The 27,729-nt window shown below is 45.3% G+C and overlaps 1 protein-coding gene across 9 annotated transcripts in view, besides 5 other annotated features; it reads left to right on the top strand.

Annotated features, from left to right (window-relative positions):
- Nucleotides 7,351–7,850: an enhancer, noted in NCBI's record as "H3K4me1 hESC enhancer chr3:15149813-15150312 (GRCh37/hg19 assembly coordinates)". NCBI's record gives its function as "activates a minimal SCP1, AML or CMV promoter by ChIP-STARR-seq in naive H9 embryonic stem cells {active_cell/tissue: H9 hESC(naive)}" and the evidence as "EXISTENCE:reporter gene assay evidence [ECO:0000049][PMID:30033119]".
- Nucleotides 16,921–17,050: an enhancer, noted in NCBI's record as "active region_19526". NCBI's record gives its function as "activates an Ori minimal core promoter by ATAC-STARR-seq in GM12878 lymphoblastoid cells {active_cell/tissue: GM12878}" and the evidence as "EXISTENCE:reporter gene assay evidence [ECO:0000049][PMID:35858748]".
- Nucleotides 16,921–17,803: a biological region, named in NCBI's record as "H3K27ac hESC enhancer GRCh37_chr3:15139860-15140724".
- Nucleotides 16,939–17,803: an enhancer, noted in NCBI's record as "H3K27ac hESC enhancer chr3:15139860-15140724 (GRCh37/hg19 assembly coordinates)". NCBI's record gives its function as "activates a minimal SCP1, AML or CMV promoter by ChIP-STARR-seq in primed H9 embryonic stem cells {active_cell/tissue: H9 hESC(primed)}" and the evidence as "EXISTENCE:reporter gene assay evidence [ECO:0000049][PMID:30033119]".
- RBSN (rabenosyn, RAB effector) overlaps nucleotides 17,008–27,729 on the top strand; it is a 29,076-nt gene continuing 18,354 nt past the window's right edge. The window contains exons 1-5 of one of the 9 annotated variants that reach the window (XM_005265384.5): nucleotides 17,008–17,121; nucleotides 17,882–18,037; nucleotides 19,446–19,604; nucleotides 19,868–20,183; nucleotides 25,617–25,757. In XM_005265384.5, the coding sequence (XP_005265441.1) occupies nucleotides 20,036–20,183; nucleotides 25,617–25,757 (289 nt within the window). In that variant the 5' untranslated portion in view covers nucleotides 17,008–17,121; nucleotides 17,882–18,037; nucleotides 19,446–19,604; nucleotides 19,868–20,035. Of the gene's footprint in view, nucleotides 17,135–17,881; nucleotides 18,038–19,445; nucleotides 19,622–19,867; nucleotides 20,486–24,662; nucleotides 24,818–25,616; nucleotides 26,022–27,729 lie in introns of those variants that run through there. The other 8 variants (NM_022340.4, XM_047448707.1, XM_047448706.1 and 5 more) reach the window with 8 other exon arrangements.
- Nucleotides 18,141–18,220: a silencer, noted in NCBI's record as "silent region_14100". NCBI's record gives its function as "represses an Ori minimal core promoter by ATAC-STARR-seq in GM12878 lymphoblastoid cells {active_cell/tissue: GM12878}" and the evidence as "EXISTENCE:reporter gene assay evidence [ECO:0000049][PMID:35858748]".

Below are 27,729 nucleotides of genomic sequence, written 5' to 3'. Positions count from 1 at the left end.
CTCTGTAACAAGTGACTCCCCTCCTGAAACCAGCCTCCTAACTCTCAGCCCATGTGGGCCAGTGCCTAGCACAGGAGGCCTCTCTCTCTTCCCAGAAGATACCCTGTGCACAGTGATTTTGAGGAGCTTATCAGAGATGGGCACAGGAGCTTTAGAGAAGAAAGAAGGCTCTGCAGAGATGAGAGGCCAGTGGGGGTGTGGGAGGCTGCACAAAGACAGGGCCTAGCTGGGTTTTAAATCTGGATTAGATGGCAAATGTTGTAGCATTTGGATTAAGACAATTATCTGAGGCTGGGCACAGTAGCTCACACCTGTAATCCCAGCACTATGGGAGGCTGAGGCGGGTGGATCACCTGAGGTCGGGAGTTCGAGACCAGTCTGACCAACATGGAGAATCTCCATTTCTACTAAAAAAATACAAAATTAGCCAGGCGTAGTGGCGCATGCCTGTAATCCCAGCTACTTGGGAGGCTGAGCAGGAGAATCGCTTGAACCCGGGAGGCGGAGGTTGCAGTGAGCCGAGATCGCGCCACTGCACTCTAGCCTGGGCAACAAGAGCGAAACTCCATCTCGGAAAAAAAAAAAAGAAAAGAAAAGAAAAGAGAAAAAGAAAATTACCTGAAATAGACTGAGACCAGGGAGGGTGGGTCCCCCAGGACACGGAGATGTTATGTAGAAAGAGAATTGTATGCCACTGAGAAAAAAGCAATAGCTGTCCACTACAACACCAAGAATGTTGGGGACGTGAGAAGGAGCACCCAGTGAAGAGTAGGTGGGATTTGACTACCCGCAAAGGCAGTGGGAAAGGAGCCCTAACGTGTAGGGAAAACCCTGGCCTCTCCCAGATGCTTTTTCACGTCTTTCATCATTTTTAGCGTCTTATGATCCTTGCAAGTTCGCTGTGTTTAGCCATACTGGGTTGATCTGTTGGGCAGGAAAGTACTAGGCAGAAACCTAACCCTAAAGATACGCTAGGACAGCTTGTGTTCTCATGACTGAGAGAAAGAGAGAGGTGTGGAGGGAGCAGAGAAAGAGAGCAAGAGAGAGAGAGAGAGAGAGAGAGAGAGGAAGGGAGGAGCTGAGGCCATGAGATTTTCTTTTTTAATCCAGGGGGATCTTCTCCCTGGGCTGGTGACACTAGGTATCAACTGGGTTACACACTGTGGGTATTTGGATGGAGCCTCTCACACCAGCTTGCTAAACTTGGTAACCTGACAGCCTGACAAAGGCTCAGCCAGAGGTTTTCACGGAGTTTGGAACTCACTTTGTAATAGGATCATTTGCCTGACATACAGCAAGTCAGTATACCAAGACCAGGGATTGCAGCAGAGAAAGAGCTTAATAATTGTGGGTAACCAAACAAGGAGACAGGAGGAAACCTCAAATCTGCCTCCCCAAAGAATTTAGGACTAGGGATTTTAAGGGGTTTGGAGTGGGCCAAAGTGGGGAGGTCGTTGATTGGTCGAAGAGTGCAGGGTGAAGTCTTGGGACAGGGAGATGAAGAAACTGCATTCTCATGCTGATCCCGTTCCTCTGTGGGGGTCTTCATGCTGGCTGTCCTCTGCCACTCTGCTGGAATTTGCGCACTGAAGAACATCTTAAGCAATTCTTAAATAAAAGCCTTATGATTCTAACCTCAGTGGTCCTACTTATAGGAACAATGGGTTTGCAAATGGTCAGTGTCTAGTGTTAACATGACTTTTGGTTCCAAAGAAGTGGGCCAAAGCGCAGCCTGATTAACACTTAATTATAAACTATATTTCTGCCCAGAACCCAGCATGTGATGCTTGTTATCCCTGTAAGGATGGTTTCAACCTGAGAAAGAATTTCAGGCAGGGATGGCCAGCTGTCCACCAGAGATGTATGCTTCTCTTCCTGGTGTAGGCTGTTAAAGGGATGTGGCTGCCAAGCCAGGGGCTGCACTTCCCAGCCCTCCCTGCATCTGGGAGGGACTGTGTGACTGGTTCTTACCAATGAAGGTGAGAGAGAGTGATGAGTTGCTTCCGCTCAAATGGATGAGAAGTGGAGGTACTTTCTCCATTCTCTCTTCTTCCATCTATTGGCTGGACACCAACTCCCACGTGACCTTGGAAGCTCCATATTGAAAATGACAGTGGCTTTATTGTGAATGAATGACTTCATGGAGAGAGGTCTCCTCTGCCTTCCCCCTCGAACCCCCCTCCCTGCCAGGGACACCAGCATTGGCCATTACTCTGTGAGGTGTGGGCTGTTATCATCCCCATTTTACAGAACTGGAAATGGATGCTGAGAGATTAATCAACTTGCCTGAGATTGCACATTCACTCATTGAGCCTTCAATAAATGTTTGTTGAGGGCCCATTATGTGCCAGCACAGATTTAGGCAATGGGTGGCCAGGTGCTATTGCTGTGCTAGTCCTTGTGTATATAGCCCCCATTGTTACTGCGTATATTTGCAGGTAGGAGTGGCTTAATGGTCCGATAAAATCCATCTGTGAGCAGATGTTAAAGGTGTCAGGTTTCACATTCCTCAGTTAGCTATAGCCTTTTACATTCGATGTCATGCCATCCTTTGATTTCCATCTGATGGCCACCTATACAGTGAGTGTGTGCCTAAATGTCCTTTTTCTTTATGTAATTATAGGAGTGTTTGTGGAGTGTAAGCTGCTTCCGGTGTCCGTTTAATTTTAAAGCCATCTCCCGGTTTTAGTAGCTATTGAGGGTCCCTTGGTATCTCCCACTCCTGTCTGATTTCCTCCTGAGTTGTAGAGGTGGTAATGAATGTCTCCACGAGCTTTCTGGATTTCTGTGTTGCTTTAACTTGGGTATGTTTTGTGTGTCACTGGTTATGTTTCCTGTTAATGCCTCTACTTGATCCCTAAATTTTGTGGTCACTGAATTATCTTTTTGGTGTACTCATACATTAATACCTTAATTTTGTTTTATGATTTATATAGTTCTTCCCAGTAAGGTTTGGACCGCATGTTCTTACCATTAATTTAAAAGTTATTTTGTGTTGGGCACGGTGGCTCACGCCTGTAATCCCAGCACTTTGAGAGGCCGAGGTGGGTGGATTACCGGAGGTCAGGAGTTCGAGACCAGCCTGGCCAACATGGTGAAACCCCATCTCTACTAAAAATATAAAAATTAGCCGGGCGTGGTGGCGGGCGCCTGCAATCCCAGCTACTTTGGAAGCTGAGGCAGGAGAATTGCTTGAACCCAGGAGGTGGAGGTTGCAGTGAGCTGAGATCGCACCATTGCTCTTCAGCCTGAGCAACAAGAGGGAGACTCCAACTCAAAAAAAAAAATTTATTTTGTTTCCATTTGTGTGAACATAGGGCTATGCCATACGGAACTGTCCATGAGTTTGTAAAAATGTATATTTTTTTTATTTTCTGACACTGTCTTACTACTAGGACAAAAGCAATCAAGTCTGCATGCTGTACAGAGGGTGATATACCTGCCTCCTTTGGGATCCTTTGGTCCTGGGATCTGAGTGCTCTGCTGGCCTTGAATCACAAAGGCTGATCCTTCTGTAAACCAGGTGCTGGGCAAGACATTAGACCAGACTGGGCCACATTTACCTATATTGGCAGGGATTGTCCCTGTCCTCAAAATAAACTCCAGCAAGTCTGTTTCAGTCTTGTGAATGTCCTCAGTGAGGAGGCCTGGTTTACCCTTAAAGCCGGTGTCTTGACCCTAGATGTACCATTTCCATGTGAGCAGCTTTGGATCAATTTGGATACCTGTCAGTTCCTCAGGGCTCAGTTTTATCCTGTAAAGGAGAAGCATATGGCATGTAATTGTAACATTGTTGTTGCCAATCAGAGGCTCAGTGTTTTGAGGGTTTCATATGTAAGCCATATGTATTTTTCAAATGGTCTGTATTTGTTGTTAGAGTATGGGAATTTTGTTGTCCAAATCTGACCAGTAAGAAGGATGTAGAATCTGGTTTCCTTGTCTATAATGACTGTGTTCCATATTCATCACTCATCAGAATTCCTGACTTAAGTAGTGAATCTGGAGTTGGGTGATGCCGTGTTTGGAATGTGGCGATGTAGTCTTTGAGTGTTTCAAGTGCTTGTGTCTGTTCACTTCCCCATGTGAAGTCTCAGGATGTCCTGGTTATCTTATAATTGGTTTCAGGATGATGTTTAAGTAAGGCGTACGCTGCCTCCAGGACCCAAATAAACCTGTTCATCTTGGTGCTTCCTGTGTGTTGTTTGGCACCTTAAGGGATTTTATTTTATTCTTGAGACAGAGCCTGGCTCTGTCGCCCAGGCTAGAGTGCAATGACGTGATCTTGGTTCACCTCAACCTCCGCCTCCCGGTTCAAGCGATTCTCCCACCTCAGCATCCCAAGTAGCTGAGATTACAGATGTGCACCACCACAACCGGCTAATTTTTTTGTATTTTTTGTGGAGATGGGATTTGGCCATGTTGCACAGGCTGGTCTCAAACTCCCAGGCCCAAGCGACCTGCCCACTTTGACCTCCTAAAGTGTTAGGAATACAGGTGTGAGCCATTGCACCCAGCCAAGGACTTTTATTTTATCTATCACTGTGATCAGGATTGTTCTTCTTTCCAGTGACCATTGTACTACTAAAAATTTGCAATCGGTGTCTGGGCCTATGGTTTTATCTGTATGAATGGTCTATCCCAGTGATCTTAAGTGTTTTATTAATTGGGAATTTTTTTGCTTAAGTTTTTCCTGGTCATCGTTTACCATTATAATGTCATCTATGTATGATATTTTTAGTGATACATATTTTAATTGATCTATGTGTGATGATGAAATGAAGTGAGCTATTACTGAATTATTTAATTATCTTTGCAGTAATCTTTTAAATTGGGTATTTTTTGCCTTCCCAAGTAAAGGAGCTATTTTCCTGACTTTTTTTGTTTATTGGTATGGCAAAGAACACGTCTGACCGTCTATGGTTACATAGTATTTCCCACTGGAGTTAGTGATCTTATTAATGACATCTTCTACATCTGGAAATGCCTCAGACATTTTGGGTGAGAATATATTTAAATTTCCATAACAAAGTCTATAGTTCCTGTTTTGTTTTAGGACAGGCCATACTGGCCTATTAAAGTTATTTGAAATGCCAATTGTAATCACATCTTTCTTGCTTCCTTGAGGAATTCTAGAATCTTTGTTTTTTGTTTGTTTGTTTGTTTTTGAGACTGAGTCTCGCTCTGTCACCCAGGCTGGAGAGCAGTGGTGTGATCTCAACTCATTGCAACCTCCACTTCTCCGGTTCAAGTGATTCTCCTGTCTCAGCCTCCTGAGTAGCTGGGAGCACTATGGTGTTTGCTCCATTATCCCACAGATAAAGAGGAGCCAGTTTGCATCTGTGGTCCGTCTTTAGCAAAAGTTTGTTCTTAGTTGTCGTAATTCTGCTTTGATGTATTCTGTGATCTCAGTGATGTCCTGAGGGCTGTCATGTCCACGGTCATAATCTATAACTCTTTTTCTAGTTATTATAGGTCTTGCCACATGCGCCCGCCTCCCAGGGTCATCATAATCTCCCGGGTCCTCTGGATGGGGGGTTTGGTCCCAGACATTCCTTTTCAAAAGTTACATCTGAAAAGGATTTACTTTTGCTTAAAATTCTATGAACGACCTCTTTGCCTTTCTGGTGATCCCTGTCTGTCTGTAAGATGCTTTGCATTAAAAGTGCAGAGATTTCTTCTTTTGCGGCTCTGCTAATCAAAGGTTTAACATTTGGAGGGGCGAGCCTCGAGTCTGACTGTACATCCTTAGGGGATAGTACAGGGAGTCATTTCCTGACTTCCAACTCTGTCTGGTATTCAACACTAAGTACTGTATTTGGGTGACAAGCCTTCTGGCATGCCTGCTTAATTTTCTTTCCTAGGGCCCACATTATGCAATATTAATAGCTACTTTATATGGTTTCTTAATAATAAATATTTCCATTTCCCACCTTAACCAATAGTATGAGTGGAGGTTATTGACGTTCCTTTCTTTCTGCCAGATTAAAGTTGTTTTGCCAACCACTGTCTCGTAAGTTGAAACCCTGTTTGGTACGAGCCCTTCCGGCTCCACCAGCTTCCTAGCTTGGTGTCAGCCCAGACTTCATCGGCCTTTGGATGTGCACGACATGGGTTAGTTCCACCCCATTACCCAAGGTTTTCCTTAGGGAGCGAGACTTTCAACATGAAGTGAGATTATCTCTTTTTAGAGACGGTGGTCGTTTGTTTCGCCAAGTGGCTTGATTTTTAATTTAAGTTTTAGTGGAGGATTTGGCTTTAGGAATTTTCCCAATTTGGTTATCACAGTTATATGATTATAAATGGCTGCTTTTAGTTTTGGACATTTGTCTGACTGAAGGACAGCTGCTAACTACGCCAATTGTTGTGAGCAGTGCAAGGTCAGACATAACCAGGTCCACACACGTTTGTGCCTTTCCCAAGGTCAGACTTTTATTGATGCTTATTCAATCATAAAAGCCATGAGCTACAAGAAGTTCCCAAGGAGGCAATTCTTAGTATTACCCGCTCACTCAGTAGTCAGAGCCACGGGCACATAGGTCCAAGCCGATCCACAGGTCAGTCAATATTGCAAACCGTCATAGCAGTATTCGTAATTAACATGTAAATATTATAGATTAAAAATTTCACATCAAACAGAGTAACATTTAACACGAAGGGAAAGGGGATAGGAAAAGGGGTTAATGAATCATTCCAAGGAGAGCTGGACTGGTTCATTGATGTGAACATGGAGAGTGTTCTGGGCTGATTCTGACAGTCATCAGTGTCTTGCAAGGAAGAGTCCTTGATTTGGGTGGAGCTTTCAGTGGCAGATGCCGGGTGCTGACCATGAGTGACATCAAGACAGTGTCTAGTGAGATGTCTGAGTTGAACTGCTGAAGTCCTGCTTTTTTTTTTTTTTTAATGGTCCTTGAGTCTTCTGGTGAAAGCTGACAGTAAAGTGTGTGTGGCCATACCCTTGCCTGATTGGGTGCAGTTTCTGTTGATGAGGCAGACATCTGGTCCCTGTTGGCATGATGCCTTTTGAAATGTAAGATGGAATCTTTCTAACATGGAGTTACTTATGTCAAGGGCACTGTATATAGGCAGTGAGGTGGTGAGAAGTGTATTCTAGATTCCGCATATTCTAGATCCATTCCAAAGTAAAAGCTGACAGAACTTGCTGATGGGTTGGAAGTGGGATGTGAGGCCGGGCACAGTGGCTCACACGTGTAATCCCAGCCCTTTGGGAGGCCGAAGTGGGTGGATTGCTTAAGCTCAGGAGTTTGATACCAGCCTGAGCCAACAAAGTGAGACCCTGTCTCTCTCCAAAAAAATACGAAAATTAGCCGGGCGTGGTGGTGAGTGCCTGTGGTCCCAGCTACTCGGGAGGCTGAGGTGGGAGGATGACTTGAGCCTGGGAGGCAGAGGTTGTGGTGAGCCGAGATCGCGCCACTGCACTCCAGCCTGGGTGACAGAGTCAGACCCTGTCTCAAAAAAAAAAAAAAAGTGGGATGTGAGAGAAAGAAGTCAAGGATGACTCCACGGTTCTTGGCCAGAGCACATGGATGGAAGAGCTGTGGGAAGAGCAGGTTTAGGGGTGGGGCCCCAGAGATAAAAGAACCCAGGGCTCTGTGGAAGGTCCAAGGCTGGTCCAGAACATGACAGCGTGTTGTGCATCCTGGCTCCCTGTTATCAGCTACTTGGCGAGCCCCTAAAAGAGGAAAGGGGCAGCAGTGCAGAGGCGTGGTAGAGGGACTGAGTCTCCCACCCCAGGCTGCTGGGATGCTCAGCCTCCTCCGGTGGTCAGCAGGAGGGAGCCTTGGAAGGCATTGGAGATAAACCAGCAGAACCACGTTGGCTTTGGACACCCGGGTTCGCTGCAAGGTTCTAAAGTGGCCAGATGCCGCCCCCTGGTGGCTGGCAAGGCTACTTACAACCCTCACTGACCTGCTAGACAGCCCACAAGCTAGAACTGGAGGGGGCCCACCCCCAACTGTGAGCAAAGTGGGGGTTCATTTGAGGCTACGAGTTGGGGCAAACGACTTCCCTGGGCATGAGGCTTTTGAGCCTGTCAAGTGCCTCCCTTATCGCAGAAGAGCAAACAGGTGCATGAAGGGGAAACAACTTTGGAGAAAGGGGTGGCTTGGGGACCCCATCCGCAGTTTTGCTTTCTGCTGATTTTTCAGTCTTCTCCTATTTTCCTTTTCCTTAATTTTTTTGATTTAGATATTTTTAAGAAAAATACATATAGAGGAAAAAAGCCATTCAAATCATAGGAAAAAAGCCTACGTTGTGGAAAGTCAGTCTCCCCACCATTCCAGTTTCCCTCCCCAGAGGTGCCCGCTGTTACAGTTGGTGTTTCCTTCCAGGGACTCTACATGCATCCTGTCACCTGAATTTCTGAAGGGTTTACTATGTGCCATGCACACTTGGCATTTCCGACCTCCGTGTCTCTTCCCAATCCAGCAGTCAGAGGTCACATCCTGTCCCTCCCCTACTCAGCACTTCCCCCAGCTCCCACCTCACTCATAGTAAAGGCCAAAGTCCCTTCAATGGCTATGACCTCCCCTCACCCTTGGGCTCTCACACCTGATTTCCCAAAACTCTCTCCCTCACTTCCTCTGCTCCAGCCACACTGGCCTCATCACTGAGGAGAGCAAAGATCACCTGGTGGCCACAAAGCAGACCATCTAGAGGCGACACTCCTCATCTGAGGAATTCAGAAGTAATTCGATTTCCCTATGATCTAAAGCTGGTATCTAGTACCCTGCTTCCTTCCCCAAAATGTATAAGAAACCAGAATTTCTATACATCTCCGAATGCATGCATGTCAAAACTCATTGTGCAACCCTTGCTGACATCAAAGCACCAAAATATCTACAAGTGTAACTTTTTTTTTTTTTTTTTTGAGACGGAGTTTTGCTCCTGTCGCCCAGGCTGGAGTGCAATGGCACGACCTCGGCTCACTGCAAACTCCGTCTCCCGGGTTCAAGTGATTCTCCTGCCTCGGCCTCCATTTATTATGACCGATGTGGCTAACATGGTCCAAATTACCCTTAAGCTCCCGCTTTAAGGTCCATAAATGCCCCTGAGGAAAATCCACTGTGGTTCACACAGTCCTCTCTTGCTGAGGCGCCGGCCACACTCTGATGCAGGGTTCTTTCTATCTTATAAAACTTTCCCTTTCAATCCTATACTGTTGTGGGCAAACTCTTCTTAACTACCTGCGAGCCAATCACTTACCATTGCCAGGGCTTTGACATCTCGCCCAGAAATTACTTTGCTTATTGTGGTAAAACATACACAACACAGTATTTATCATTTTAATCATTTGTAAGTGCACAATTCAGTGGCATTAAATACAGTCACAATGTTGTGTAACCAGCTCCACTATCTATACTCAAAACTTGTTCATCATCCCTTATAAAAACTCCGTACCCTTTAAACAATAACTCTCCCTCCCCTCACCCCGGTAGCCTTTATTTTATTGTCTGTCTCTATGAATTTGACTATTCTGGATATCTCACCATAAGTGGACTCATATAGTATTTGTCCTCCTGTGTCTGACTTATTTCACTAAATGTAATGAAAAAGATCCATCCATGTTGTATCAGATATCAAAATTCATTTCCTTTTTATGGTTGAATGATATTTTATTGTAAGCATAGACCATGCTTTGTTTATTCATTCATCTGTTTGAGAAAGAAAACCTTTTTCTGAGAAATGCTAACCACTTTAAATTATCAGGCCCAGAAAGGTATTTAAACTGTAACAGCAGGCCGGGCACGGTGGCACACACCTGTAATCCCAGCACTTTGGGAGGCCGAGGCGGGCGGATCACTTGAGGTCAGGAGCTCAAGACCAGCCTGGCCAGTATGGTGAAACCCCATCTCTACTAAAAATACGAAAATTAGCCAGGCATGGTGATGCACACCTGTGATCCCAGCTACTCAGGAGGCTGAGGCATGAGAATCACTTGAACCTGGGAGGTGGAGGTTGCAGTGAGCTGAGATCGTGCCACTGCACTCCAGCCTGGGCGACAGAGTGAGATTCCGTCTCAAAAAAAAAAAAATTAAATTAAATTAAATTAAATTAAATTAAATGGAACAGCAGACTGGGTTCGGTGGCTCACGCCTGTAATCCTAGCACTTTGGGAGGCTGAGGTGGGCAGATTGCTTGAGCTCAGGAGTTCGAGACCAACCGGGCAACGTGGTGAAACCCTATCTCTACAAAAAATGGACAAATTAGCCAGGCATGGTGGTAGGCGCCTGTAGTCCCAGCTACTCGGGAGGCTGAGGTGGGAAGATCACCTGAGCCCAGGATGTCGAGGCTTCAGTGAACCATGATCACGCCACTGCACTCCAGCATGGGCAACAGAGTGAGACCCTGTCTCAAATAAATAAATAAAAATTAAAAAATAAAATGTAACAGCAGTCGCATCTCACTCCTCCTTGAGCTAAATAATTACCTCTTGAACCCACTTGGCTGTGCCAGCTCTGACACCAAGTAGCCATCAAATGCCATACACCCTATAGTTCAACAATATGTAGCCAATCATTAGCCAATGTTATTTCTGTAAACCAATGAGAATTCCTGATGAACAACTTCTGTAATTGTAAGCTCTCCGGATTTGTCCTTTTTCTCTCTCTCTCTTTTTTGAGACAGGGTTTCAGTCTGTTGCCCAGGTTGGACTGTAATAGCATGATCATAGTTCACTGTAACCTCAAACACCTGGGCTTGGCCGGGCACAGTGGTTCACACCTGTAATCCCAACAGTTTGGGAGGCCAAGACGGGAGGATCACCTGAGGTCGGGAGTTCAAGACCAACCTGACCAACATGGTGAAACCCCGTCTCTACTAAAAATACTAAAAAATTAGCTGGGTGTGGTGGCACATGCATGTAATCCCAGCTACTTGGGAGGCTGAGGCAGGAGAATTGCTTGAACCTGGGAGGTGGAGGTTGCAGTGAGCCGAGATCATGCCATTGCATTCCAGCCTGGGCAACAAGAGCGAAAACTCTGTCTCAAAAAATAATAATAATAATAATAATAAACACCTGGGCTCAAGTGATCCTCCTGCCTCAGCCTCCCAAGTAGCTGGGACTACAGGTGCACATCTCCATGCCCAGCTAATTTTCTATTTTTTTTTTTGAGACAGAGTCTCGGCTGTGTTGCCCAGGCTGGAGTGCAGTGGCATGATCTCGACTCACTGCAGCCTCTGCCTCCCAGGTTCAAATGAGTCTCCTGCCTCAGCCTCCCCAGTAGCTGGGATTACAGGCATGAGCCACCACGCCTGGCTAATTTTTGTATCTTAGTAGAGATGGGGTTTTGCCATGTTGGCCAGGCTGGTCTCGAACTCCTGACCTCAGGTGATCCACCCATCTCAGCCTCCCAAAGTCCTGGGATTACAGCTGTGAGCCACCATGCCCAGCCGCAGCTAATTTTCTAACTCAATTTTTTTTTTTTTTTTTTTTTTTTTAGAAATGGGGTTTCATTATATTGCCAAGGCTGGTCTCAAACTCCTGGCCGCAAGCAATCCTTCTGCCTCAGCCTCCCAAGTAGTTGGGATTACAGGCATGAGCCACTGTGCCCAGCCTCATCCTTTTTCTCATTAAAAACTTGAGCCTCTTGTTTGTTCTCCAGAGCATTTGCCAAGGCAACTTGGAAGTGTGCAGTCCCAGGGTGCAGTCCTCAACCTTTGCATTTGACTAAACTCTCTTTAAGCTACATTCTGAGCTAGTGACATAGCAAGACCTCACCTCTAAAATTTTTTCTTCATTAGCTAGGTGTGGGGGTGCATATCTGTAGTCCCAGCTACTCAGGAAGCTAAGGTGGGACGATTGCACCACTGCACTCCAGCCTGAGTGACAGAGTGAGACCCTGTCTCTAAAAACAAACAAACAAAAACAACAACAACAACAAAAAGACCGCATGCTGACTCTTTTGATTATTCTATGTTGACATGTTGATGGACATTTGAGGTGTCTCTATCGTTTGGCTATTGTGAATAATACTGCTATGGACATGGGTGTTGGCCTCATTACTTTTTCTGCAAACTGCCCTGCACACTTCCACATGAGGACTTTTCAGTGGCTGTTCCCTCTGCCTGGAATGCTCTTCCCCAAGGGATCCACATGGCTCACTTTCTTCAAGTCTTTTCTCAAATGTTGCCTTCTCAATGAGGCCTACCCTGACCACGCTATAAGTTCTGCAACCTGGCACTCCTTGTTCTCTTTACTCTGTTTTTTTTTTCTATAGTACTTACCATTTTCTAATGTGCTATATAACATACTTATTTAGTATATTAATTGTTTAGGATCTGTGTCTCTCCATGCGAATGTCATCTCCCTGAGGGCAAGGATCAATGTCTGTTTTGTTTATCTCAGGCACTCATGTAGGTAGGTGCTTAATACATAGTTTGTTGAATGAACTTAAAATCACAAGCCTAAGTCATTTGTTGAGTTACAGATTTTAAACTGGAGTCATGAGATGAATGTGTTAGATGCTCTAATATGCCAAACACTCTTAAATCCCTCAAATACTTAAAATACCATATACACACAGATTGTTTCAAATCTGGGTTAAAATTGAGGTTAACTTCTCAACTGGCTGAAGGTGCGTATCTCTGAAGATGTAAGTCAGGGAATGAGATCTGAAGCTGCAGACAACCAGCGTGACTTTTTCTCGTGACCTGAGGACCATGCTGTGCTCTTGATTCTCCTCCTCCCTGCACTTAGGGCCACCGTGCAGGTTGTATGCAGCATAGTTGGGAGTAGGGTGGGGGTGGGGGTAAGTGGATGCTGAAATCCAGTATGTGCCCCATTTGCCAAATGCAGGGCTTGAGTGCCAGCACAAGGTTTTGTCCATGGGAGAGAAGGGAGTGGTGCCTCTTTCCCATTTGCCACAGGCCCCAATGGGCTTGGAGTGGTCCTGCTTTGTCAAAGACAATGCCAGCCCGCTACCTGCAAACTGATTGGCTTTGAAGCTCACATCTCCCAAGTCAATTCCATGTTTCCTGCTTTTCAGGTTTGCTGAGGCTGTTCCCCCACCCACTATTGGATTTAATGAATCTAGTTGCTATGTGATTCTATTCTGAGTTCTTTTTGGAGACATCCCATCTGGCAAGGCCATGACTCTCAAAGCTATTTCTATGACACCAGATTGGATCCTCACACCCTCATGCTATTGTCTGACTCAGCGCAACACAACAGCCAAGGCATGTGAATTACACTGCTCTTCCTTTTTCTTTATTTAACAAACATTTACATAGTCCTTCCCCTGTGCCAGGCGCTGTTCTAACACTTTCCAAATATTAAGCTATTTAACCCTCCAACCTAAGAGGTGAGTACTATAATTATCTCATTTCACAGATAAGGAAACTGAAGCTCAGAGAATTTAAGTGACCCGCCCAAGGTTCACGTGGCCACAGGTGGCAGGGCTGGGATTCAAACCCAGGTCGACTTTTGCTCCATCTTCGCTTTTTTCTTGTCATTCTTTCCCTCCCTCTTCCTCTTCCTTTCTCCCCTCGTTTTCTCTTCCTTCTTCATTCCCTGCTTCCTTCCTGACAGGGCCACAGCAACTGCCACCTGCTTCCCTCAGACACTGCCCAGCCCAGCACACCCTCCCTCCATCCTCCAGGCAAGGCTCTGCCAGGCTGTCTGTCATCACCCTCATTTCTCTGTGCCAGCAGACAGGGTGTGCCAACCTCAATGCCCTCAACCCGCTGGCTCAGACCACAGCAGCTGGCAGAGGCCTGGGAGCTGGGGCCAGGCCAGCCTGGAGGGCAGTTGGCCCTTCGGGAAGTTACATGATGTGCCCAGACCTTCCCCAATGACGTTTATGTTATCCATATCATAATTTATTTTCTTGCCCAAGGATTTTAATGTGGTGCCAAGATGTCTTGTGCTGCTTGGGATAAACTTAGACAAATAAGGGCCAAGAGAAAGTGAGAGAGTGAGATAGAGAGAGGGATAGAGAGACAGAAAGATAGAGAACCCTAAGGCAGGGGGCAAGGGTGAAGAGACCCAGCTGTCCACGATTCTCTCACTAGAAGTGGCTGCCTACAGTTTTGGGAACAAGGAGGAGTGGCTTGATATCATCCCTCTATGTGTGAATGAACTTTTCTGTGAGTTTCTCAAAGGACTCATGTTCTTCTCCATAACTATGCCTTTGCATATGCTGTTCCCCTGGCCTGGAAGGCCCTTCCCAATCGTTTCTACCCAAGGACCATGCTCACGTGCTGCCCGCTTCTGGGAAACCTTTCGTGAATTCCTGCAGGGGACTCTGCTGGTCTCTCCTCTCACACCAGAGCATCTGTGTGCACGTGCACATTTCTGTTTTGAACTAATTGGCTTACATCCCCTCTCTATGCCCAGTACAGGAGTGGTGCCTGGAGGAAGCTGAGGAGGTACAGGAAGTCTATCAGCACTTCACAGAGGAAGGAAAAGTGGGGATTGTGAAAGCCTCAAGGCAAGGTGACTCTGGGTTCAAGGCTCACCAGCTGGTGACCCTGGGCAAGTCACCTAACCTCTCTGTGCCTCAGCTTCCCTTCTATAGAATGGGAATATTATTACATTTTGTATAGTTTGTACATCATTGGGTTGTGTGAGAATGAAATGAGTTAAGATATGGAAAGCACATAGAACAGTGTCTGGCATGTGCAAATCCCTCAGTAAATATTAGTCATTTTTATTATTATCAAACTGGAAATAGTCATAGAGTTGCCTAAAGGATTAAAGAAAGTACTTTTGATGAAGTGTGAAGCATATAGGAAGGTCTTTGTCATTATCATTAACAGTATCGGCCAGGCGCGGTGGCTCACGCCTGTAATCCGAGCACTTTGGGAGGCCGAGGCGGATGGATCACGAGGTCAGGAGATTGAGACCATCCTGGCTAACACAGTGAAACCCTGTCCCTACTAAAAATACAAAAAATTAGCCGGGCGTGGTGGCGGGTGCCTGTAGTCCCAGCTACTCGGGAGGCTGAGGCAGGAGAATGGCATAAACCTGGGAGGCGGAGCTTGCAGTGAGCTGAGATCACGCCACTGCACTCCAGCCTGGGGGACAGAGTGAGACTCTGCCTCAAAAAAAAAAAAAAAAAAAAAAGAAAAAAGAAAAAAAAGAAACAATATCAAGAGCAGTGCCCAATCCACTGTGATTTCCAGAATTAACTTACAAGTTGAGGCCACATAGCTATTGCTTTTTTGAGCAAATGAAATGATGAATATGATATTTTTTTCTTTTCTTTTCTTTCTTTTTTTTTTTTTTTTTTGAGGTGGAGTTTCACTTTGTTGCCCAGGCTGGAGTGCAGTGGGACAATCTTGGCTCCCTGCAAACTCTGCCTCCTGGGTTCAAGCAATTCTTCTGCCTCAACCTCCTGAGTAGCTGGGATTACAGGCGAGCGACACCACACTCGACTAATGTTTTATATGTTTGGTAGAGACAGAGTTTCACCATGTTGGCCAGGCTGGTCTTGAACTCCTGACCTCAAGTTATCTGCCCACCTCGGCCTCCCAAAGTGCTGGGATTACAGGCGTGAGCCACCGCGCCCGACCAAATATGTTTTTTGTAAATGATAAAATGACAAGCAAAAATCATGATGGTTTAATAAACGTTCATTGCCCTACCCAAAACATAGTCCTGCCTGTAAGTGTGGCTCGTTTTGGGACCTCGGTGGCTTCAGACTTTCAAAAGGGTGGTTTTACTCCCAAAGTCCTGGCTTTTGGGACCTAAGGCAGAAGCTAGTGATGGAGACGGGGAGCTTGGCATGTTGCTTTGCTTCTGACAGGTTAGGAAGCCTCTTCCTTGTCTCCATCAGTAAACAAAGGGAAGTCATTATTCGCTCCTGCAGATGTTGTAACGTTAAAAAAAAATTGGCCATCAGATTGAGAGAAAAGGCTAAGTCACTGGAGCCAATTTCTTTTGTACAGATGAGAGAACTCAGGCGAAGAAAGGGGAAAGGACCTGCTCAAAGCCACAAAGTAACGTACAGCCAGGGCTAGAACCCAGATCTCTAGACCCCTAGTTCACTGCCCTTTCACTGGTGATTGCTTTCCAAAAACTCAATGCTCTCCAAGTCCGGAGCCCCATGTCCTTAAATGGAAGGTGATGGAGGCTCAGTGCTCCTGTCCAGAGACCAGGTGGGGAAGACTTTTTGGAGGCAGGGAAAGTGAGATGGGCAAAGCCAATATGCAGGACACCCTCCTACCTACCTACCTACCGTGCAATTACCTCAATCTTCACAACACTGTGAAGCGGAGACTATCATTATCATCCCCATTTTACTTCTGTAAAAGGGGGCCAGTAACACTGCAGGGATGTAAACGGAGGCCCAGGATCGTCCCATCGTCCCATCGTTCTCTGCAGCTCTTGCTCCTAGAGGCTGGCTATTGCTAAGGTCCAGAACGTGTGCAGGGCACAAAGCAAATAGGTCTCCGGGACTGGGATGAGGTTTTGCCTCTCTATACCCCGTGGTACCCAGCACAGCGTAGGCACGGGGTAGGTCCTGGCTGATCAATCGTCCTGCCTTTTGAAAATGCCATCTTTTCCACAGGCTTGGCCATGCTGTACACCCCGGGATACACCTTCTCATACCAAGTCTCCACTCTCATGTGGTTCTATTCTTGGACTTTCCATCGCCTCCACGTCCCCTGAATATTTTTTCTGTCTCTAGCTCTCAGGAACTTTGATTCCTTGGCTGCCTTATTCTTTGTGCACTTTGGTCAAGAGCCAAAGATCTACTGGTCTCAGCTTTCCCACCTGTACAAGGCGGTGCAGAGCCATTGGCTGGCTTTGACGCGCTATTAGTTCGAATTCGGGACGTAAGAACCGCACAAAATTACCGAGCCCCACTTTCTCTCCGCTCCCCACCATCCCCTCCCTCGTTCGGAAAGCGCCTGCGCAGAAGCCGCCGGCCCGCCCTCCACTATTCGAATCCGTATCCGCCCTTTTCGCGCCCTCGAAGACTCGGCGCTCGACAGGCGTCTACCAGCTTGTCTTCCGGTTTCGTCGCCGCCGCAGGCGCACCTGCCGAGTTCCGAGCGACCGATGGAGATGGCGGCTGCGGCTGAGTGACGGACGGTGGAGGCCCAGAGCCCGGGCCTGAAGGGGGGGACAAACCTGGGTGCCCGCAGGAGCCCGGCAGGGTACATACAGAGGGTCAGGCCCAGTCTGGGGGGCGGGGACACGACTCCTCCAGAACGGAGACGGGCGGGCCGTGTGTGGTTGTGGTGGGTGTGACGTGAGAGGTGGGAGATGGGGCTTTCAGGCCGTGCGTTTCGCTTGTGTGTGCCTTTGATGATTGGGCTCTGTGTGGTTGTGCGGTTACGCGGGGCGTATACACTTGGGTTTGGTTGTGCAGCTGTGGGTGGAGTGGGTGGGTGCTTGTCTCCCGAGCGGTTGTGTTTGATTCTCTGGTTGTGTAAAGCTGAAGCGTTTGTATTCTGAGTTCGTGTGGAGATGTTCGGAGTGTTTTGTGTGGTGTCTGTGCGATGTGTGACGTTGTCATGTCTGCTTCACGGGATTGAGTCGTTCGTGTTGTGTGTGGTCATGCGATGTGTGTATAATCATGTTAGTTATGTGGGTTGTGGTTGCGATCGTGAGGCCGGGTTGAGTGCGGCTGTGGGATGTGTCGTCGATGCGGCATGTGGCGGGGTGACATTCATGCTGGATGTACGGCTGCAGAACATGTAGCTATATTTATTTTTTTTATTTTTATTTTTTTTACTTTTTACGTGATTTAGAGTGCGAGGGGCTTGCTTATGTGTTCAGTTATGGTTGTGGGGTCCAATTCGGTGGTTGTGTTAGATTTCTTTATGGTGTATGCTTAGTTATATGATTTTGGAGTTCATTCATTTCTTCGTTCATTCATGGAGCTTTATTGTGCTGCTTCATTGTGTGTGCCAGGTACTGTGCTAAACCCTGGGGAGACGGCGAAGTGGAAAACATATAGAGTCTGTGCCCTCCCAGATTTTACAGTCTTACTTGGTCACTTCACGTATGTACCTGCGGTTATAAATTGAGATGAGTGCTGTGAAGGAGAAGTCCATTCTGATGCTCTGAGTAAGAGGCATTTCTTTTGAGGAAGTGAGGTTTGGGTTTGGGCTGAGGCGTGAAGGGTGGTTGTGTGGCATGGATGTGGTGGGCTTTGTGTTATTTGTGGTCGTTAGGGGTGAGTGCATGGGAAGAAAGGGAGCTGTCAGAGTCAGCATCAGATGAACCACTGGCTGGGGAGGGAACAGGCCAGACCTAGGGCTGCTATATTCCAGTGGAAAAGTTATGAAGTCACTGGGTTTCTTAACTAGAGGGAAAAAATAGGGACCTGGTGTCTCATTTGTTTATTTTCTGAGTTGCTGCCACCCTTCAGCTTTGAGGACCAGGCAGTCCCTCCTCGGTGGTCTTCTACAGTCCATCCAAAGCTGAGGGTCACACATCTCCCCTCACTATATACTGTGGCTTGTATCCCCAGGTTCTTGGGGAGAAATTTCTCTGCTTTTGTGGAATGGTTTTGTCTCAATTTCTCTTGTGACTGGGTGTCTTGATGAGGTGACATTGGAAGTGACTTTGCCATGAGCCAGTAAGAAAGAGAATGTAACTTATTAAGCCCTGAAGTGTTTAGGCCCCAAATCAATTTATTTATTTATTTATTTATTTATTTACTTTTTTGAGATGGAGTTTCGCTCTTGTTGCCCAGGCTGGAGTGCAATGGCATGATCTCGGCTCACTGCAACTTCCGCCTCCTGGGTTCAAGCAGTTCTCCTGCCTCAGTACCCCCACTAGCTGGGATTACAGGCGCCTACCACCACACCCGGCAAATTTTTGTATTTTTAGTAGAGATAGGGTTTCACCATATTGGCCAGGCTGGTCTCGAACTCCTGACCTCAGGTGATCCGCCTGCCTTGGCCTCCCAAAGTGCTGGGATTACAGGCTTGAGCCACCATGCCTGGCCAGCCTTTTATTTTTGAAGCAGTGAGAACATCAGGTTTGCTACTTAACTGTCACTTAATGGCTTATAAGATCTGTCAGGGTGCAGTGGCTCACATCTGTAATCTCAGCAGTTTGGGGGGGCTCAGGCAGGAGGATTGCCTGAGGCCAGGAGTTAGAGACCTGCCTGGGAAACATAGCAAGAACCTGTCTCTATAAATAATTTAAAAACTAGCTGGGTGTGGTGGCATACTCCTGTAGTCCCAGCTTCTTAGGAGGCTGAGGCAGGAGGATCACTTGAACCGAGAAGGTCGAGGCTGTTGTGAGCAATTATAGCTCACTGGGTGACAGAGCAAGATGCTGTCTCTTAAAAAGGAAAATATAGTACGCCCATTAGAGATAAGTGCTCTACAAATATAAAATAGATTTTTTCTTTTTGACTAGTAGGTTTCTATTGTTTCTCTTTAACTGATGTTAGGATTTTTGATTTTTTGTATGTTTTTATGGCAGATACTATATCTTTTTCATCTTTGCATTTCTAACACAGGTGTCTTACAAGTATCAAGAACTTACTATATGTGGTTGAATAAACAATCAAGGTAAAGAGCATCAAGTAAAAACTTCTGCTTGTTGATAAGTACTTCAGACATTCCCCCAGTGGCTGAAGTGGCATATGAATTATGAAGTTGGATCATTTGGAATGAATGTAAGAGAATTGCCAAGGTATTGTTTGCTTATTTCAAGAATCTGTGCTTCCCACTTCATTGAGTTTTTGTTCTCCAGTGATGTTTTCACATTTTAGGTTTTGCAGCTTGCTTGGTCTAAGGATTTGAGAAAGAGTTTGTTTTCTCAAACTTGCACTGAATAAACATTAAGTACCCCATTGAACTGTGAAAAGAATGAAGAAAATCCTCAATTGCTACCAGTTTGCCTGAATTGGCTTTTTTCCCTTCTTCTTTTCTTTCTTAGGGCTCCTCCTACTCCAGAGAGGAAACCTCATCCAGGGCCATGAAGCCACTTCCTCACCATCTGTGTGCTGCTTAAGCTAATGCTGCGGGAACCATGGTTCCTTGGGAGGAATCAAGCTGACTCTTGGCATGAGATTCCTGCCTTCCTAGGGTTGAGAGCGGCACTGCCATGGCTTCTCTGGACGACCCAGGGGAAGTGAGGGAGGGCTTCCTCTGCCCTCTGTGCCTGAAGGATCTGCAGTCTTTCTATCAGCTTCACTCACATTACGAGGAAGAACACTCAGGGGAAGACCGTGATGTCAAAGGGCAAATTAAAAGTAAGAGGCGAGGACCTTGCCTATCCCCTGCTGTCGTTGAGAGCTTTAACTCACGGGATAGTTCTCATCAGCTTTGGTGTTGCCACAGGAATATGATAATAGTAGTAGCAAACAGATGACTAGTGTTTGTCATGTGCCAGGCGTTTTCAGAGTTTCCCTGTTTATTAATTTCATTTAATCCTCACAATAACTGTGTGGCTGTAAGCCACATTTCGAACCAGACACAGAGAGATTAGATAACTTGTCTGAAGCCACTCAGAGAAACAATCTGACTTTGAGTCTAGTAAATGTAATTGCTGTGATCTGGCTTGACTGTTCTTTAACCACCAGCCTAACAGGGTTTGGAGAGGAATTTCTTTCCTTTGCTATGATGATGGAGGCACATTATGCACCCATTTTACCTGTCACAAATTTAAGACTTCCCACCATCCTTCCTTCCCCAATTGGTATCTTGCCCTCTATAGCCCAGAAAAAGGAAGGTCATAGTCGAAGAACAAAACAACCTAAAAACCTTGGTTTTTGAGCTTCCAAGAGCTCAGGTTTGAGAGAGTTGTGGAAAGAATTTTTCAAAGGTACTTTTCACTATACATATGTTTATTGTATTTCCTGGACATCAAATTCTAACCTCCAGATAAGATGCTGCTCCTCTGGGCGGGCACAGTGGCTCACGCCTCTATTCGCAGCACTTTGGGAGGCCAGAGTGGGCAGATCACTTGAGCTCAGGAGTTCAAGACCAGCCTGGGCAACATGGCGAAACCCCGTCTCACAAAAAAAATTAAAAAAAAAAACAACTAGCCGGGCGTGATGGTGCACGCCTGTAGTCCCAGCTACTCAGGAGACTGAGGTAGGAGGATCACTTGAGCCCAGGGAGGTCAAGGCTGTAGTGAGCGATGATCATGCCACTGCACTCGCACCTGGGCAACAGAGAGAGAGACACACACACACACAAACACACACACGCCAAAGATGCTGCTCCTCTGGAACTTATTTTGTAGTTATTCAGCTAACTTGCTTCTCACAGCTGGCAGCATTTCTGAAGGCCTTGAGATTAAAGAGTTCTGGATGTTGTATTCAAAGTCTTTATTGGGAGAGAAAGAAAGGAATGATCATGTATTTCTAAGTGGACTTCAGCTTTCAGACAGGTGAATCATATGCACTTTGTAATCAGATATTTGTCCCTAGAGTCTCACTCTATCTCACTTTTCTGTTCAGTAAAAAAGAGTTTCTAAAAGCATAAACAGTTATAACTTCTATCCAAAAACAACAAAGGCAAACATTTCTGAAATCCTGAGGGCTTTGGTGGATGAGGTGGCTTCTGGCTGTAGAGGCTATAGAACAGAGCCAAAACTATTAGGAGGGAAAAAAATGCTGTGCTTTATAGTTTTTAGAGTTTCTTTCACAGACATTATTGTTTCATCTGACTCTCCTAACAACTCTGCAAGAAGGTGATTGGTCTCATTTTACAGATAGTAAGTGAAGTGAGGCTCAAGAGATGTTGAGTTACTTATCCACGGTCACACAGGAATTGGCAGAGCTAGGCCTGGAACGTAGGTCTTCTGTCATCTGTAAATCCAGTGCTGCCCTTTGCACGTGACATCACTGAGGGTGAGAGGCCCCGTGTTCCAATCACAACATGCATTGCAGCTTCCTGGGGGAAATGAAGCAAAAACAAAACTAAAAAACCTGATTATGTAAGTTTCCTTTGGACAACCGAAGAGCTTCCATCATTTTCAACTAGCTTCCAGTCTTGGTGTCAGCTGAACTAAGTCCTATACAATGCCATTGCTCAACCTGGTGATACCAGTGGGTAGAGAGGTTAGAGAATGTTCCCGGATTCCTACAGTGACCCTTTTTTAAGAGGAAAAATGTTTAAGGTTATTTAGAGAATACAGATATGGGAATCTATTTAAGGAATACTAAATAGAATAGAAATTTTGTGCCTTGTGAAAGAAACTTGAAAGGATCCTTGGCTGGGCACAGTGGCTCACATCTGTAATCCCAGCACTTTGGGAGGCCATGGCGGGAGGATCGCTTCAGCTTAGGAGTTTGATACCAGCCTGGGCAACATAGATCCTGTCCAAAAATAAAAAAAAATTTTTTTTAATTAGCTGGGCATGATGACATGCATTTGTAGTCCTAGCCACTTGGAAGGCTGAGGCAGAAGGATCCCTTGAGCCCGGAAGGTTGAAGCTGCAGTGAGCCATGATTATGCCACTGCACTCCAGCCTGGGCAGCAGAGTGAAACTCTGACTCAAAAACAAAAAAACAAAATAAAGTTACTTCAGCCGGGTGCGGTGGCTCATGCCTGTAATTCTAGTACTTTGGGAGGCCAAGGCAGGAGGATTGCTTGAGCCCAGGAGACCAGACTGGGCAACATAGCGAGACCATTTCTACAAAAAAATCATTTAAAAAAATTAGCCAGTCATAGTGGCACGCACTCGTAGTCCCAATTACCCAGGAGGCTGAGGTGGGAGGATCGCTTCAGCTCAGGAGATCAAGGCTGTTACATTCTAGCCTGAGCAACAGAGTGAAACTGTCTCAAAAAAAAGAAAGAAAAGATCCTCTTGGTTTTTCCCTTTATTTCCCACCCTGCCTTACCCCCGACATCTCTACCTCTAGTACTATTAATGATCATGTCTTTAGTTAGAAAGGAATTCTTGATTATGTTGCAGTTTTCTGCATTTCAGAATCAGGAAAGTAAAGTTTTAAGGATTGACATGAAAGGTTTTTTGAAAAGCCCTTTAGAAAGCAGATTACGTCTCCATTTGGTCTTTTGATTCTTAGAAATGTTATGACATGGTTAGTTTTGGGCAAGTGAAAAGTTAAAGCCAAAAGAGTGAACCTTAGTATTAGGTTTTGGGGGCAGTTCAAAAAAGAAAAGATAGATTAGTCATTAGTAAAAAGTTAGTGGGTTCGGGGCCCAGTCCTGGTTCAGCTCCAGTCTAGCCCATTTTCAGTAAGTAGAAGAAAAGATAGCTGAAAATTGACTGTGGCTTCTTGCTTTGTTAGTGTTTTTTAAAATATATGGGATTATTTTTAATTGGCCTTCTCTGGAAGGGCTATGTCCTTTCTGGGAACATTGCCAGGCAGTTTTTCTATCTCCTAAAAGTGGTTAAATGGTATAGATTGCCTGTTTAACCTGATACTTTAGTCTTGTTTGCAAAAATGAATTGTTACTTGCTAACTCACATTCCTGTTTGCTAGACCCTTTGTTCACATCAGGCAGTTTTCTCTCCCCTGTTACTAGAAAAGACTGCTTTAGGCCAGGGACAGTGGCTCATGCCTGCAATCCCAGCACTTTGGGAGGCCGAGGTGGGCAGATCATCTGAGGCCAGGAGTTTAAGACCAGCCTGGCCAATGTGGTGAAACCCCATCTCTACTAAAAAAAATACAAAAATTAGCTGGGTGTGTTGGCACGTGCCTGTAATTTCAGCTACTCGGGAGGCTGAGGCAGGAGCATCCCTTGAACCCCTGGAAGGCAGAGGTTGCAGTGAGCTGAGATTGCTGCCATTGCATTCCAGCTTGGGCAACAAGAGTGAAACTCTGTCTCAAAAAAAAACAAACAAACAAACAAAAAAAACCCACTTTAGTGCATTTTAAAGGATGTCCTTTTGTTTTAGTATTTTTCCAGTTTGGACAAAGCTGTCCCACAGTGACCAATAATCAGGAAGTTTGCTTATTGGCTTGACCGTCTTAAAAAAAAAAAAAGACAAGTGTATTCTTATCAATCTCACCCTCAGCCTGCGAACCTGGGCAACATCTCTACAAAAAAATGTTTTATAAAATAATTTACCTAGTCATGGTGGCGCACACCTATAGTCCCAGCTACTTGAGAGACTGAGGCGAGAGGATCGCTTGAGCCCAAGAGATCAAGGCTGCAGTGAGCTATGATCAGCCACTGCACTCCAGCCTGGGTGACAGAGCAAGACCCTGTCTCTAAAAAATAAATAATTAAAAAGTAAAAGTAATGATACCATTTTATATTCAGTCTGATATTTTCTACTAGATTCTGGTGGAAGAAAGGGATAGCAGTCATCCAAGATTAAAGAACATTCATGAGAGAGCGTCTTAGAACTGAGAATTCTTCCCGCCCCACACCAGCTGATTGTTCAGTTTAACAGGTGGTTCTCTGCACCAGCACAGGTGGCAGAACCCATGTTCTGCAGAGGCATAGTTTGTGAATCAGGACTAGCGGGGGAGAGCTGGAGCTCTCATTTCAGGCACATGAGGTGTCTACTTCCAGCCCTGCTGTTACCTGTAAGCTCTGTGATCTTGGGTGAAGCAAGTTCTTCCCTGTCTTTGATGTCGTTTCCTCATTTGTAAGTAGGGCTATCACCTGCCTTATAACATTGTAAGCATGAACTGGCATAATGTATTTGCAAGCACTTTGCGTTGTACCTGGTACATACGATGGCTAAATACAGGAAATGTTCATTTTCTCTTCTTACCCAATCTGGTTCTGTTTGTGTTATGTTGTAGATGTTATATCTGTTTCTTGAAGCTTTTTGCAAGTATTCTCACATGCATTCAATAAGTGCGTGGGCAGTAGTGGGGAAGCAAGAACTCTGTGTCCAGTTAAGCCTATGGGGAACACCAGTCCACGGATGGAGGTTTAGCTGAATCCCATCCTGGAGGTAAATGAGAAGAATTTACTCATGAGTTTCTGGGGTAAATGAATTAGTACTATAGAACTTGTTTTTTAAAAAACATTATTTTAACTGAGGTATAGTTTTAATTTTTTTTTTTTTTTTTTTTTTTTTTTGAGACAGGGTCTCATTCTGGTTGTCCAGGCTGGAGTACAGTGGCACAATCTCAGCTCACTGCAGCCTCGACCTCCTGGGCTCAGGTGATTCTCCCACCTCAGCCTCCCAAGTAGCTGGGACTACAGGTGCATGCCACAACACCCAGCTAGTTTTTTGTATTTTTAGTAGAGATGGGGTTTTGTCATGTTGCCCAGGCTGGCTTGAATTCCTGGACTCAAGCAATTTGCCTCCCTTGTGGGATTACAGGTGTGAGCCACTGCGCCTGGCCCAATTCAAAAAGTTTTCAAAAATGTATATACCCACTTCACCACCACTCCAATTAAGATAAAGAAGAAAACACTTCCATCACCCTGTTTTCCTCATCAAATTTGATTTTAGCACTTTTATTTAATTGTGCTCTTAAATTTGGCAATGAGCAGTAATTTAGCCCATATGTTGGCCGCCTAAACCAATTTAATGCTAATATTGATTAACTAGTGTATTGCTCTGTGGTATTTGTAATATAGTGTTTGTGTGCTTGCTCCTGCATTTTACTTGAGATCTAAATATTTCTGGTGCATTTTTAAACAAACGATAATTATTTCGTCAACTCTTGTTTTTTGAGATTTCTTTTGACTGTTTACTGGGTGTTCTTCATGGCTCATTTGTATTATTTGTTCCATTTTTCAAGGTCTTGTCCAGAAGGCTAAAAAAGCAAAGGACAGGTTGTTGAAACGAGAAGGGGATGATCGAGCAGAGTCAGGGACCCAAGGATATGAGTCTTTCAGCTATGGAGGGGTTGATCCTTACATGTGGGAACCCCAGGAGCTTGGTAAGAAAATTCATTTATTCATTCAGCAAGTGGTTATTGAGCATCTGCTATGTTCTAGGTAAAGTTTTAAGAGTTGGCTGAGGAGGCATCAGTAAACCATAATGGTCTAAGCTTCTCATGGACCTTATGCCCTTGCTGGGGGAAGAAAATGGAAGAGAACCAGCTGAGCATCCACTTTGTGTTAGGCACTACATTAAGTGCCTTATACCCATGGTCTTGTTAGATCTTCACTGCACCTCATGAGAACCTGCCCAGGGACAAACAGTGAGTAAACTGCAGAAGTAGGGTATGAATCCATATCTCTCTGACGTCAGCCCAGGCATAGAGTCCATTAATGATTCTTTCCTCTCACATAGGACATTACCTGCCCAGTGACAGGCACTGGTTTATGCAGCTTACTTTTTTGAATAATTATAGTAACATCTACCTACTTTCATGTTTTTGGGATGATAAAAATTCTCTAACATTTATTATGATGATTGTACAACTCTGAAAATCCTAAGCTGGGCGCGGTGGCTCACACCTGTAATCCCAGCACTTTGGGAGGCCGAGGCGGGCAGATCACGAGGTCAGGAGATCCAGACCACGGTGAAACCCCGTCTCTACTAAAAATACAAAAAATTAGCCGGGCGTGGTGGCGGGCGCCTGTAGTCCCAGCTGCTCAGGAGGCTGAGGCAGGAGAATGGCGTGAACCCAGGAAGCAGAGCTTGCAGTGAGCTGAGATCGTGCCACTGCACTCCAGCCTGGGTGACAGAGTGAGACTCTGTCTCAAGAAAAAAAAAAAAGAAAAGAAAATCCTAAAAACCACTGAATTTGCTTTAAATGGTGTATGTATGTGAATTATATCTCAATAAAGCTATTTATCATGCCAGTCACACTTAGTTGAACTATCTAATCTTACATATCTGTTTTTTTTTTTTGTTTTTTTTTTTTTTTTTTTTTGGAGATGGAGTCTCACTGTGTCACCCAGGCTGGAGTCCAGGGCTCCGTCATGGCTCACTGCATTCCAGGCTCAAGTGATCTCTCACTTCAGCCTCCTCAGTAGCTAAGACTACTGGTGCACACCATCCATCACACCTGGCTAATTTTTGTATTTTTTGTAGAAACAGGGTCCTATGTTGGCCAGGCTGGTCTTGAACTCCTGGGCTCAAGTGATCCTCCCATCTCAGCCTCCCAGAGTGCCAGGATTACAGGTGTGAGCCACTACGCCTGCCTACATATCCTTTAACCGTCTAATGATAACAGTCATTAATATAATAAAATATTTTCTGTCCATGAAATGGGTAATTATTCCTTTATTTATTTATCATTCCCTTGTGATTTATTCAATTTTCATGTTTATGATCTTGTTCACCTTTCACAAAAGCCTTGTGGAGTAGTGGTCCTTTTTCCCATTTATGGATGAGGAAACTGGAGCTCCAAGAAGGAAAGCGAAATTTACCCAGGCTCATCTACTGTATCTTTTTAGTGCTGTTATAGAAGGTGTCTCTTTGAATAAGGAAAGTCCTACAACTGTGCTGTCCATTCAGTAGCCACCAGTCATGGGCTATTTAAGTTTAAATAAATTTAAATGAAATAAAATTAAAAGTCACTTCCTGTAGCACACACTAACCACATTTTAAGTGTTCTGTGTCCACTTGTGGCTATTTGCTACTGTATTGGAGAATGGAAACATTTTTGTTATTGCAGGAGAAAATTGCTTTAAAAATAATACTATACAGCCGGGCGCAGTGGCTCACGCCTGTAATCCCAGCACTTTGGGAGGTCGAGGCAGCTGAATCACAAGGTCAGGAGTTTGAGACCACCCTGGCCAATATGGTGAAACCCCGTCTCTACTAAAAATACAAAAAAATTAGCCAGGTGTGGTGGCACATGCCTGTAATTCCAGCTACTCGGGAGGCTGAGGCAGGAGAATTGCTTGAATCCAGGAGGCAGAGGTTACAGTGAGCCGAGATTGCACCACTGCACTCCA

Source organism: Homo sapiens, chromosome 3, assembly GCF_000001405.40.
Source record: "Homo sapiens chromosome 3, GRCh38.p14 Primary Assembly".
Taxonomy (NCBI): Eukaryota; Metazoa; Chordata; class Mammalia; order Primates; family Hominidae; genus Homo; species Homo sapiens.
This window is presented reverse-complemented; position numbering and strand designations above follow the sequence as displayed.